Source organism: Homo sapiens (assembly GCF_000001405.40).
Source record: "Homo sapiens chromosome 14 unlocalized genomic scaffold, GRCh38.p14 Primary Assembly HSCHR14_CTG1_UNLOCALIZED".
Taxonomy (NCBI): Eukaryota; Metazoa; Chordata; class Mammalia; order Primates; family Hominidae; genus Homo; species Homo sapiens.
In genome coordinates this window covers 6,478-21,500 of record NT_113796.3, presented here as the reverse complement: position 1 = coordinate 21,500, position 15,023 = coordinate 6,478, and the positions used below count along the sequence as shown (strand labels likewise).

Here is a 15,023-nt window from a genome sequence, read left to right as displayed (position 1 = left end):
CATTGATCAGCTAGGATACACACTTATGAAATAACAGCTAATCAAACTACTCATTTTTCCCATGATCACATGGGCTACTGCAGCACCTACATTTCTCCTATCCCCTCATTTGGCCTTGAATTAGAGCTCCTTGATCCACTCATGCAAGGTGGTCCATAAAACACATCAAATAAACCATGTCGAATAAGCTTCTGATATGAAAATATTTATCAAAAAAGAAAACATTGAATGACCACAGACTTGCTGGATATTAATACATATTTATATTTCAAAATCAGTGCAGTATTTATTGAAAATGATAATTTTGGTTTTCATGGAATGAATTTTATGATTACTTCTAAAATTAACTGAGTTTGGTATATTATCTTACACTGTAAAGGACTTTTATAAAACAGCTATCATATCGAAGAACTGGCTGTCTCAAAAAAATTTCACCAAAGCATCTATATGCAACTTAATCATATCTTATTCACTCATGTCAGTGAAACTTCTCTCCCTGAGGCCTGACAGTTATCAAGTGAAATGAGCTGCTGTGGTTTACCCCAACTCTAGCACTCCCTCCTGTCTCCAGTACTCTCCACAGCAATAACCTCTTTTGTGAGACTGGGCATATGCTGAAGCAACTGGAAGTGAGTTGTCTCAAGTTAACTTGGCTTTAACTCCCAAGACCCCAGCAAATGTCTTTCTTTCCTCCTTTTGTGTCCTTTCACCATCCCTCTTCCTTTGAAAAAATGATTATCAGAACTGTCATCCTGATGCTTCCCTTCCTAACTGCTTTTTATGGATGATTGTGACCACTTTTTTCATCTGTATTCAGCAGTAGTATACACCTGTAATCTCTCTTTTTTCATCTCATTTTCCTTCCCCTGTGGCTAGAATCATGCTCAGAAATAAAAGGAAATTAAAGCTTTCCCTGGATTCTGTTATCTTTTAAATTGCTCTCCAGTGGTTCTTTTTCCAGATTTCTCTAAAGGAAGGCTATTCCCTTGCTATTCAGAGCTGTGTCCAAGGACCAGCACAAACATCACCTGAGTGCTCATGAGAAATGCAGACTCCAATACCTGCTGAGTCAGAATGTGCACTTTCCAGAAGCTCCTCAACGTATTCATGACAATTTGAATGCCTTGTTCTACACTGGTGTGCTTCCATATTGGTTTACCCTAATTGGCCTTTTTGGCCTAGCCTCAACTTCTTTCCTATTATGTCCCTGAATTTAATACTACGTTATAAGCCATAATGTTTCTAATGAACTTTTAATCAGGCAAAGCTTCTCTAATTAATTTCTTCCCAATAAATCACCCAACACTATTCTTTTCAATTATGTTAATATGATACTATCCTATGAAGTTACAACATTTTCTATGAAAACAAATTACAGTCATACATGGCTGACCATTTATGGTGATGTTCATCTATGGTAGATAAAACACAGGTCTGCATGGTAAAGTACCTCAATCCTTAATGCCTCCCCAGTAGCGAGAATGACAGCAAGAGAAGGAAAATGTTACTGTAATTATATGACACATTTTGGTACTGGAAGCTCACTTTATCTTCCTTCCTATTTCTAACACCCTGTTCTTCCTTCTTCTACAGATCAATTTGACTTTACTACCCTCCATTACATACATCCACTTTTTTTTATTTATTCCATGTACACTCTGCCCTCCTCATTCTTTCTTTCTCTTTTATTCATTTCCTCTTCCCTCTCTCCTGACTTGCCTCAGGTCTTAGAGTATGTTAAAATGGAACTCATAACTCACCTCCTTTAGTGGTACTTCCAATAGAATCAACTGCTGACCCTTGGTTAGAGACACCACTTATCACCATTTCATTTCTCTTTTACTTATGATACAGTTAATAGGACATTTTCTTTAGCTATTAAACTCTATTAGTGCTCATATTTTAAAAGAAACATTCCATCAATGCCTTTTTTTTTTTTGAGATGGAGTCTCACTCTGTCACCCAGGCTGGAGTGCAGTGGCACGATCTCCGCTCACTGCAAGCTCCACCTCCCAGGTTCACACCATCCTCCTGCCTCAGCCTCCTGAGTTGCTGAGACTACAGGCACCTGCCACCATGCCCGGCTAATTTTTCGTGTTTTTAGTAGAGATGGGGTTTCACCATGTTAGCCAGGATGGTCTTGATCTCCTGACCTCATTACCCGCCCACCTAGGGCTCCCAAAGTGCTGGAATTACAGGCGTGAGCCACCGCGCCTGGTCTCCATCAAATGACTTTTTAAATAAAATACGGTTCTCACCTTTTCCTTTTCCATTGACTATTCTGTTTCCTTTTTCATGAGAAGGTCCACGTAAAGGCTCTGACACTTTCTTGGGGACACACTGCTAAGGTAATATCAAGAATTAGTTTCCATTTAAAATTATAATGAGTTGCATCAAGAGTTTCTTATCAATCTCTTTTTATGAAACTGGGTCTCACTCTGTCAACCCAGGGCTAGAATGCAGGGGCCTGATTATGGCTCACTGTGGTCTCAAACTCCTGACCTCAAGCAATCTTCCCACCTCAACTTCCTGAATAGCTGGAACTACAGGTGCATACCATCATGTCATGCTAATGTTTTTATTGTTATCTTTGTAGAGACAAGGCCTCATTATACCTCCCAGGCTGGTCTCAAGCTCCTGGGCTCAAGCAAATCTTCCACTTCTGCCTCCCAAAATGTTGAGATAAGCAGTGTGCACCACCACACCCAGCCCTAATCAATTTCTTTAAATCAATCTCAATGTTGCCCAGGCATGGTGGCTCACACCTGTAATCTCAGCCCTTTGCAAGGCCAAGGTGGGTGGATTGCTTGAGTTCAGGAGTTGGAGACCAGCCTGGCCAACATAATGAGAACACATCTCTACACAAAAAATACCAAAAGGAGTCAGGCATGAAGGTGTGTGCCTGTAGTCCCAGCTGCTTGGGAAGCTGATGTGGGAGGATCACTTGAGCCTGAGAAGTGGATACAGCAGTGAGCCAAGATCATGCCACTACACTACAGCATGGACAACAGAGCAAGACCCTGCCTCCCCAAAAATTTCAATTTAAAAGAGAGATACAAACAAAAAACAAGCCTAATTAGTCAATGAAATATGAGCTTAAGCCAAGAAAGAAAACGAAAAACATGAAGTACAATAAAGTACATGGGGAAATAGATCTATAACAGAGCCTTCGGTCTTTCATAACTCTGATAATACTAATTAATATTTATGCTGCAATTAGTTTTTTGTAAGTACTTCTGTGATAGTGTTTCTTACTATAAGACATTCAATTAGCTAAATATGGTCATCTACCATTACCTGAAAGAACATTATTATAACAGAGAGAGAAAACTGGAACTTTCCATCAACTTTCCACCCAGAAAAAGAATTGGTCACCAGAATTCTAAAGAGTAATGTATGGCAGACACATGAAAAAATGCTCATCATCACTGGCCATCAGAGAAATGCAAATCGAAACCACTATGAGATATCATTTCACACCAGTTAGAATGGCAATCATTAAAAAGTCAGGAAACAACAGGTGCTGGAGAGGATGTGGAGAAATAGGAACACTTTTACACTGTTGGTGGGACTGTAAACTAGTTCAACCATTGTGGAAGACAGTGTGGAGATTCCTCAAGGATCAAGAATTAGAAATACTGTTTGATCCAGCCATCCCATTACTGGATATATATGCAAAGGATTATAAATCATGCTGCTATAAAGACACATGCACATGTATGTTTATTGCAGCACTATTCATAATAGCAAAGACTTGGAACCAACCCATATGCCCATCAATGATAGACTGGATTAAGAAAATGTGGCACTTACACACCATGGAATACTATGCAGCATAAAAAATGATGAGTTCATGTCCTTTGTAGGGACATGGATGAAGCTGGAAACCATCATTCTGAGCAAACTGTTCCAAGGACAGAAAACCAAACACCACATGTTCTCACTCATAGGTGGGAACTGAAAAATGAGAACACTTGGACACAGGATGGGGAACATCACACACCATGGCCTGTCATGGGGTGGGGGGAGAGGGGAGGAATAGCATTAAGAGATATACCTAGTATAAATGACGAGTTAATGGGTGCAGCACACCAACATGGCACATGTATACATATTTAACAAACCTGCACGTTGTGCACATGTACCCTAGAACTTAAAGTATAATAATAATAATAAAGAGTAATGTATGGCTTGAAATGGTGTATTTAATGGAACATGAGTTGGGTCTAATAAAAAGCTTAAGAAATATTAATCTAAAATCTCAATGTTAAGATTCCAGTTGAATGATACTAGAAAATATATTGTAACCCTCTTTGCTACCGATGACCTATTTCTATTTTATTTCCTTTTTAATTATGGCATAAATTCTCAACATAACATGTCAAAACTTATACACCGTTAAATATTAAAAAATAATACAATGTAAGCAATATTTTAAATACAATATTTAATGATTGGATACATTAGGTTTATTATATTACTTATAACATTCCATTATATAAAAATTCATTTGTTTATTTATTCAGATTAAACAACTATTAAGGCTGAATGTCTCATGTCTGTAACCCCAGCACTTTGAGAGGCTGAGGCGAGCAGAACATTTGAGCCCAACAATTAAAGAAGAGCCTGGGCAACAAGGCAAAACCCTATCTCTACAAAACTCAGCCCAGCATGGTGACACAGGTCTATGGTGACATAGCTCTATTGTTTCAACTACTTGGATGGCTGAGGTGTGAGGATCACCTGAGCCTAGGAAATGGAGATCGGAGTGAGCCAAGATCTCACCAGTGCCCTCCAGCCTGGGTGACAGAGTGAAACCCCATCTCAAAAAACAACAAGTAAAATGCTTCTTACATGGAAGACTGTATTCTAGGTACTCCAGGATACACACAAATATGTTTACTGACCTCCAGTAGCTTATGGTATGCAGGAGTTCCAATGATCATTTAAAAAACTAAATAGAAAACCTTCTGACATTCAAACTTTCAGAATATGATATAAGGACTTTGAGTGGTTATTTTATTTTATTTTATTTTTTAAGATGTAGTCTTGCTCTGTCACCCAGCCTACAGTGCAATGGTGCGATCTTGGCTCACTGCAATCTTTGCCTCCTGGGTTCAAGCGATTCTCCTGCCTTAGCCTCCTGAGCAACTGGGATTACAGGCATGCACTATCATGCTTGGATAATTTTTGTGCTTTTTTTTTTTTTTTTTAAGAGACAGGGTTTCACCATGTTGGCCAGGCTGATCTTGAACTCCTGACCTCAGGTGAGCTACCCACCTCGGCCTCCAAAAGTGCTGGGATTACAGGTGTGAGCCACCACGCCTGGCCAAGTAAATATTTTAAATAAACTACAATGACAAAATTATGATGATAAAGACTTACCATATTGGTATTAAGAGTCTCTGCTTCTAGAACTGGTTATTTGCAGGAAAATACATGTTATTCAATTAGATGAAGTGTTTTATATAAACTCTTCATGGACAACTCATAAATCACATAAAAATCCCTTTGCAATACAAATCTTGAGAACATAAATTTAAATTTCTACATTTCCACAATTTATATTTTTAAATCAGATACAATGTTACCCAGGCTGTTCTCAAACTCCTGTGTTCAAGCAATCTTACTGTCTCAAACTCCCAAGTAGCAGGGACTACAGGTGTACACCACCAAACTCAGCTATTTTTCTACAACTTTTAATACTTTTTTAGTCTCACTACAGAACCAATAATATAAGTAGAGAAACAATCTCTCCTAAAAACTATATGACACCAAAATGATAAGTTTCCAAGAACAAAAGCTATATGCTATGTGCTGAACATTTCTGCCACTAAAAATTACCAGGAGGATTCCATGATTACTGCAAACAATTTGATCCACTGAAGGTTTATACAGGAATAAATATTAAGAAAGTCACACTCGTATGATTTAAAAGTCAAAGTATTAGTATTTATCCAAATAAACTTTAACCAAAGTTCATATTTCCTCTATTGGAGAAAGCATTTCCTAATGTGATTTTCCTGTGACTACTTATTTTCCAGTTCATTTATTTTTCAGCTCCCACCCTGTCACAGTACTTACCAATCTTTATTAGTTACCAAAGTTAAACACATTTTTTGAATCAACTAGCCATGTGTATGTTTTTCTCTGACCAGCTTTCCATTACCACCATAAAACAATGATAGGTAAACCACTGCTAAATTTGAAAAGTAAATACTATGCAAAACTACACCCAGAGTGAGAAGATTAATTTTACAAGAGACCACTTTACCTTAGTAGCAACACTCAAGTCTTCATCATCCAATGTAGGCAATGAATCCACACACAGTTCATGCAAAATGCTTGAGAGCAAAAATACACAATGAAAATGAGCAAGTTGATTTCTTTACAATTTTTTTAACTGCCAGTTTATATCCAGCTTCCCCCTCAAAAAAAGGAAAACATAATCTGGGGAAAAGTCAGTGATCTATATATTAAATTACGATTCTTGATATAATTAAAATATGTCCTCTGTTCTAAAAAGAGATTTTAGTTACCTATTTCTGCCTCCACCTGTCTAAATCTATAAAATATTCAATGAAAACTAACCTTGAGGTTTATAACAAATAGTGACAGTCAATATATTGGCAGAGCCTGACAATAATGTGCCCTCACAAATTATCTGTCCTGAAGCTGAACTTAAAATTCAATTAATGGATGACATAAATTTTGTTCCCTAAACTGGAATAAAACTGATGACCTAAAACAAGGTAGAAAGATCCACTGTCTCTTTTCCATGATCTGTCTCTGGATAAAAGACTAATCTACATCACTTCAAAATGGTAGTCTTGATTCCTCAGCATGGATCCAACTTAGGAAGGTCCTATTGCTTTCCTTTACCCTAAATTGGTACAGGAAAACCAACACAATATTTGAAATGTATGAAAGCTAAATGTACAGAAGTCAAATAGCAAAGATGTATGTTCTTATTGAGAATACTTTTCCCAGAAAGATTAAAATATTCACAATTATAAAATCCTATTATTTTCACTCTATAGGTCCTACCTTATTCAGGTCCACATAAACTAGCAATCCCTTAAAAATTTTCATAGGCACTCAGACACCCAAGGAGAGAGACTGCCAGAAAAGAAACAGAGTCATGATAGTTGTACCTCTATTTCCCTAAGTACTATCTAAGTATATTTCTTCCTATGGACACCCACTTCCAGATTCTACTTCTGCAGGGTTCCACAGAAGTCTCCAATCTTTAAATCTTCAGTGTATGAAAGCACAGATTCCTGAAAGAATGGCCTCAAATGACCAGGAGTAGGAGCTCTCTATATCCCTGCTCCTGAAAAACAAGCTAACTGGAGTCTCCATCACCTGCCACCAGCTATACACACTACCAACTACCCAACTGAACTCCATGACTGATTTTCCAGCTAATCATGCCCCTGACCCAGCCCACATGGACATGGGAAGGACATCAGTGAACTGTGAAAAGAGGCAGAGGTGAGGAGACACCTGCCCTGTGCCACACATCTATGTAGTTCAGCAATTTCCATCCCCTTAGTACTCCAGGGGCTCTAAGCCACCCCTTTGTAAGTCAGGATGGAAGTAGATGACACCACATTTCTATCTGCTGTAGACATTCTTCCCAGTGTCTCAAAATGTTTTGGCATCTTTCAGTAAAAATCTTCAAGTTTGTCAGTCCTTGATTTAAAAAAAAAAAAAGCAGCAAAATTTTTAGAGCTCCCTTGAACCTTCTATTTTAATGTGCCTTTGTAGATAATTCCCAACATCTTGTGTCCTTCATTTTTATAATTTATCTTTATCAAACTTGTCATAAACCCCAATACTTTGATCTCTTGTAGAAGAGTCCGTACTCCTATCCAATCCAGTGTTGTTTATCTTCAAACTTGGACTTCCCCTGCTCATTCCATTCTTATCTACTTCCATTGGGTTCACCAGCTAATTCCATTCTCATTCTATCCACAGACTCACTTCCGTTTGTATTATTAAAACACACGCCAATAGGACATAGAAAGAAGCAAGAGTACTGGGCTTTACCATGAGTTCAAATCTCATTTCTGCCAATTCCTATGTCTAAAAAAAAGCTTCGTAATCTCTTTGAGCCTCACATTCTCTATCTAGAGAATCACTTGACCAGAATGTTCAACGCAGAGAAAAATACTAGAAGGTATTTTAATTCATTCCAAGATTCCTTAAAATTCTGTAATTCTATGTCCTCTTGATTCTGTCTATAGAAAAACTTGGAATACATAGGCAGCAGAGTTTGAAAAAATAATAGAACAAAAGAAACACCAAGAAAAACAGAGAAGAAAGTTTTAAAAAATGAGGACAAGATTATATAAAAGTCATGGAAAAAGCAACAAGACTAAAAAATGTATTATGGAAGTAAGCAGAAATACTTGCCTAAATGGAAAACCAAACTGTGAAGTCAAATAATTTGTCTCTAAGACTTGCCTAAACTTGCTTTGGTAAAACTTACAGTCCTATGGCCAAAGCTAAGTCAGATCTGCCCTAGAGCCTTTGAAGGTAAAAATAAGATACTGGTTACCACTGAAATCGTCAAATTTATTAGGACTAACCACATTCTAACAATAAACTTAAATGAGAGTTCAAGGTATTTAAACTCTCATTAATTTAGAAGTTAATCAAATTAATGAATCTGATTGATCTGATTCAGACCTATACTTTGATCCAAGGGCTGCACAGATATCTATCAATCTATGCTGAGGAGCAAGAGAAAGGATTTGGAAGGCAGGCAGGCTGATGGTCAAACTGTAGGCCAGCTACTTTGTTAACTATGGGATCATGAGGCAATTAATCAGCTCTAATCCATAGTTGTTTATTTAACAGTAGGTTATAGGAACACAGATGTTATGATGGCTTTATGAGATGATAAATGCATAGAACATATTAGGATGTCTAGCCCAGAATACAACACTCAACAGATATTAGTTTCTTCCATCTATATTTTCTTAGTTAACATAATTTTTTAAATCTATGAAATCTTACCTGACTGCAGATTCATCAGAAATTCCAACATCTATTAAAGAAAAAGGTAAAATGCATTTTAAATCAATAATAAATGTACAGAATATTAAAATCATAAGAATGCACAGTGATGCATGCCTCTAATCCAAACTACTTGGGAGGATGAGGCAGGAGGATCACTTGAGGAGCCCAGAAGTTTGAGACCAGCTTGGGAAACATAGTAAGACTCTACCTTCATAAAAAAATTGTGCACACTTGTGTGTATGCTTTAGATCCTGTTTTTTGTTGTTGTTGTTGTTTTGGTTTGGTTTGGTTTTTTAAAGCATAAGACTGACGTTTTGTTACAAAGCATTCCTTTGGGAGCATGCCTGGGAACTTATTAGAATTAACATTCATTATAAGTATTGGTAGGTAATTAATGCAGTAAGAACTCTTCCCTCTGTATTTATTAGATGCAAAGAAGAATAAATTTATTAAAATTTGGTATCTACAAGTGAACTGAAGTATACAAGTCATCCTAGCCAAAGCCTATGAGATTGAGTAAAAATGGTATTGTTAGCAGAACAGGTGTGATGAGTCAACAGTGTCAAAGAGCATGATTTCTGGACCAAAATATGAGGGGCCATTACAACAGAGTATACACTAGTACCCCTTATCCACTATATGCGCAGAAAGACATACTTGACACGTTTTTCTCTGCTGTCACACCACAGCAACAATCATCAACAAAGAAGGCTTCTGTAACCAAATGTGTGGAGAGTTTTTCCCCACCAACAAACAAGCAATCATTCCTGCTGATGACACAATTCAATTCTCACACCCTATCTACAGATAACATCAGATTTAATTTAATTTATAAATTAAACTTTGTCATAGATATGTATGTATAGGGAAAAACAGCTTGTGATTCAGTAATATTCATGGTTTCATGCATGCACTGGGGGTCTTGAAATGTATCTCCCACAGTTAAGGTGTAGTTACTGCACTTATTTTGTTATAACACCACACAGCCTCTCTAGCTCTTCAGATCAAACTGTTTAGTTTAGAATAAAACATGCTATCGCCAGAAACCAACAAAACATAGGAATCAGACCAGAAACAGGAATCCTTGCAAATACTTTCCAGCCACCAGTGGAGAAGATCTCAAGAGAGATCAGTGTGTTACTCTGGCTAATACTCTTCTGGGTAAGGTGCTGGGTGGTTTCCTTAGTTGTAGCTATTTGCTCTGGCCTACGTATAACAAGCCCCAAATTCACCTGCCATTTTACCTCCCACAGAAAGAACCACTGGAAAGATCACTCCTTTAAGAGCTTATCCACATTCAGAGAGAAGCTGAATAAACACTGGGGAGGTATGGCAGGCTGCCGGGCAATATTATCTGATGTGAAAAAATATATAGAAAGGAAACTATCAATGCCCTTTTACTACCAGAATGTTCTAATGTTTGCCCATCTCCCTAGTAGGAGAAAAAATTTTTTTCACCTCGCATAAAGCAAAACTCCCTTGTCATCTCTCATGACAGAATCTAGTTGTAGGTGAGTCATGCCATCATAATACAGGCTGTTGTCAACCTCATCCCTCAAAGGAAGAGGATCAGTGAGGAACTTATGTATTTACCTAATAGCATTCATGCCTGGTCTTATTTCCAACCGAATGTAAGTATGAAAGACTTTGTGATTCCAGTTTTATAAAGCACAACACTTTGCACTTGTCCTCTTCCATTGCTAAAGAGTCTATCTGGACCCACCTCACAGAGCAAGATGCTCCAGGTTGTGCTGTGTAGTACGGCGTGGTGTCCTTTTCCTCAACCCTTTCTATTATGTGCCACATATCTATACAAATCATGTTTTCTAAGTATGTAAATCATATCTCATCAGAATACATCATTCTTTACAATGATAAAGAAGCAAAAGAAAAACAAAAGGACAAAGAACATCTTAAATGACTACATTCAACTGCCATGGAGCTTTAATTTTTTAACTACTCAAAAAGATATCCACTCTTCTTATTCCAACTATATGACTCTTCTGAAAAAAGTAAAACTATGAAGACAGAGTAAACATCAATGGTTGTCACGAGTTGCTAGGGAGAAAGGGAGAGATGAACAGGCATAGCACAGAGAATTTTTAGGGCAGTGAAACTGTTCTGTCGATAATATTACAGTAATAGATACATGTCATGTCATTATATATTTGTCCAAATTCACAGAATGTACAGCATCAAGAGTGAGGCCTGATGTAAACTATGAACTTCAAGTGATTATAATGTGTCAATGTAAGTTCATCAGTTGTAACAAATGGACCACTCTCTGGTGGAAAATACTAATAATGGGGGAGGCTATGCGTGTGTGGGAGGCATGGGATATATGAGAAATCTCTGTACCTTCCTCTCAATTTTGCTGTGAACCTAAAACTACTCTAAGAAATAAGGTTATTGATTTAAAAAAAATATTCAGCTGGGCTCAGTGGCTCATGCCTGTAATCTCAGCACTTTGGGAGGCAAAGGTGGGTGGATCACCTGAGGTCAGGAGTTCAAGACCAGCCTGGCCAACATGGCAAAACCTCATCTCTAATAAAAATACAAAAATTAGCTGGGCATGGTAGCTGGCACCTGTAATTTCAGCTACCCGGGAGGCTGAGGCAGGAGAATCGCTTGAGCCTAGAAAGCAGAGGTTGCAGTTAACCAAGATAGCACCACTGCACTGCAGCCTGGGAGACAGAGTGAGATTCTGTCTCAAAAAACAAAAAAGATATTCACTGTCTATGCATCCCAGGATTTCCAGAACAACAATTAAAATAAATAAATAAAAAAGATGGCTGGGGGCAGTGGCTCAAGTCTGTAATCCCAGCACTTTGAGAGGCTGAGGTGGGTGGATCACCTGAGGTCAGGAGTTCGAGACCAGTCTGACTAACATGGTAAAACCTCATCTCTACTGAATATAAAAAATTAGCCGGGCATGATGGTGCATGCCTGTAGTTCCAGGTACCTGGGAGGCTGAGGCAGGAGAATCATTTGAACCTGGGAGGTGGAGGTTGCAATGATCCAAGATTGTGTCATTGCACTGCAGCCTGGTCAACAAGAGCAAAACTCTGTCTCAAAAAAAAATAAGTAAATAAAATTAAAAATAAAGATATTCACTGAACCTGTTACTATGATATATTTAAGCAAGACATGGCGACCCTAAAAATTAGAGATCATTGAAGACCAAAGTAACAACATGTGGTCATTATTTCTCAAATTGAAGTATATAAAATAAATAAATTTAATTGCATGCTTAGGTAAGAAAATATTGATAAAAATGATTGAATATTTTATCTTATTTCATAATTCTAAGCAGGGCTTTAGCACAATATGAAAACTAGATTATTCATGTAATCCAAATAAAAGACAATTTTTATTCTAATTTTAACTCAGAAATTATTTTGCTTATTTAACAATTTTACTGAAAGGTAAATGAGATAAATAGGACAGATTATAATTACCTAAATTGCTATGGTAACTTATGTACAAATAGCTGTTCGTCACTGAAAGTCAAAAAAGTAACCAGCGCTGCAACTTAAGATGGATCATACAACAGAAATTAGTACCAAGTTACCTTATCTTATAATATTATGTTATTAAAATGAAATTTTAAAACAACACCAAAAATTAAGTTGGGGTTATACAAAGTGTGCAGAAAAGATTTCATATAACAGGCAAGAGACTGCCATCCTTAGAAAGGCCTGCATGCAAGGCTGGCCCTTGGCTGGTGTTTAGGAAATTGGAATTGGGAGGGTTTCCACCATTCCGTGAGAAGAGTGGCTCACTGTGTCTAAAGTTTTTATAGAAACCGCCAATGGGTGAAATCCAAAGCAGCAGCTGGTGTATCCATTAACATTCTCAAAACAGGATGCATCTGGACCCCTGTGTGCAATCTTCATAGCACACAGACACTAAACAGAAAGGCAGTCATTGCTGCCAAACAGGACCCAAATGTCACACACAGTGCAATGAAGCTATAAGCTCCCTATGGAGAGAAAAGTAGACAAATCAAAAATATTCAATATCCAATCCAAGTCCACATTAAATCTTGATTCCAGAAACGTGCATTAACCACTTCAAAGACTAAAATTTAAGCCATCTTTTCTATAGCGATTTCCCATTTGGTTGGCAGGCATACAGGAGTAGAGAATGATTTAATTTACTTACAAGTATTCAGAAAAGATAGTGACCTCTACATTCAACCAGCTACAGCAGCTTAGCACCCAGCCAAAGCCTGCATCTCTCCCACCTTAAGATTTAGTGGTTGGCTAGAGTTAGCAGCATCCAGGCCACATCTATCTCTGCATTCTAAGTTTGCTTCCAAGATAAAGATACAAATGCAGGCTGGCTCCAACCTAGCCAGAGATCCCAGCCCCACTCTCTGCATCCCAAAATCCCTCAAAGACCCAAGAGACTTTCCAGATTTCTACAGTCTCCTAACAGGTCCCCTTGACAGTTAAATGCCCTCTCTTTACCTCAACTAGCTGCAGGTAGAATATAATGGGTACAGCAGAAAGTCACTGTAAGTGTAATATGAAGATACACAGCCCTTTTAAGCATTTCATTATATTACATCTAGCTTACTTCTAAGTGATTTATTCAGATGTGACTGAAGAAAGTCTAAAGGGAAAAAAAACAATTTAATTTGATAAATTAAATTATCAATTATAGCCAAATTATTTGGGTATAACAAATTAAACATTTTAAGCAGACAGAAGATGCAAACATTTTAAGTTTACAGAAGATATAAAATGTTCACTATCAAAATGTCGCAACTGATAAAAATGTTCTCAAATATTTCTGTCTCAAACTTGCATTGTTCATTAAGGAAGCAAAATAGGTGGGACATACACAGCAACAACATCCCTCAAAAAACACCTTGGCTCATTCCTATAAGCCAGGCAGCAAATACATCATCCTTACATATGTTAATTACCTTCCAATTTCAAATTCTCAACTGTGAAATAAAGGACCATTTTATTTGGCTGCTTCCAGTTCAATATGACTGTTTTTATTAAAACATCTCTAACTTGAAAAATATTTGGTGTTTTCTAAAAAACTGCAAATTGCCACAAATGGCCAGATAATTTGGAATAAACACCCTACAGAAAAAAATATATATTCAAGTTGCATAAGTCACTTTGAGCAATCCTTTGAGGATATTTCATTTATATCTAAATGAACCACAGGTTTAGCTGGCTTTTCTGGAAAACCAGAAGCAAATAATGTATGATTATAATGAAAACCATCTCAAGCAATTTTGAAATGAAGTACCACATGTCTTATGCTGTCCCTTCCATGCACTTGACAAAACAGCCTATAACAAATTGTTTACTTTGAGATTTAGCAGGAAAATTCCATGAGGTTTAAATGAGATGACTAATAATAAGCCATCTACCTTTGACTCTATTCCAATTAAAAATGGGTTAGGAAAGTGCTTTGAAAATCAAGTGTGTTCATCAGGGAATCATTTACCTAAGTCTTCTTAACACTGCTTAGTGAATATTAAGCCTGATATAGTAAATACACGCTAACCACTAAATTGAAGGGGAAAGAGGGAGAACAAAGAGACATGTAAAGTACACTTACTTTTTCTAGTAGGAAAAAGCCAATTAAAACTATCACCTATTAGTTTTATTGGAATCAGTCTTACAGGAGGTCAAACTTCCTACTGTTGCTACCTATTCTCAATATTTTTCTTATTTCTTCCTAAACTTCTAGAGCCGTGCTGTCCAATAAATATGTGAGCCACATATGTAATTTTAAATGTACTAGTAAGCCCCATTAAAAGGTGAAATTAATTTTAAATATACTTAACTCAGTATGTCCCAAATAGTAATCATAGTAATAATTTTAACATGTAATCAATATAAAAAATTATCAAGCAGATATTCTACGCTGTTCTTCCCACTCCAATGACAAAATCCAGTATATTTAACACAACACATCTCAATTAGGACTAGCCAGGATTTCAAGTGCTCAATAGTTACAGGTGGCTA

General features: G+C 37.2%; 1 long non-coding RNA gene across 4 annotated transcripts in view, besides 1 other annotated feature; it reads left to right on the top strand.

The window, feature by feature from the left end:
• LOC105379271 (uncharacterized) overlaps positions 1 to 11,438 on the top strand; it is a 114,785-nt gene extending 103,347 nt beyond the window's left edge. The window contains exons 3-4 of one of the 4 annotated variants that reach the window (XR_007068490.1): positions 7,227 to 7,494; positions 10,881 to 11,438. This is a non-coding gene — a long non-coding RNA (uncharacterized LOC105379271). Of the gene's footprint in view, positions 1 to 7,211; positions 7,688 to 10,880 lie in introns of those variants that run through there. The other 3 variants (XR_007068492.1, XR_007068489.1, XR_007068491.1) reach the window with 3 other exon arrangements.
• Positions 13,004 to 13,505: an enhancer, noted in NCBI's record as "OCT4 hESC enhancer chr1:143350812-143351313 (GRCh37/hg19 assembly coordinates)". NCBI's record gives its function as "activates a minimal SCP1, AML or CMV promoter by ChIP-STARR-seq in naive H9 embryonic stem cells {active_cell/tissue: H9 hESC(naive)}" and the evidence as "EXISTENCE:reporter gene assay evidence [ECO:0000049][PMID:30033119]".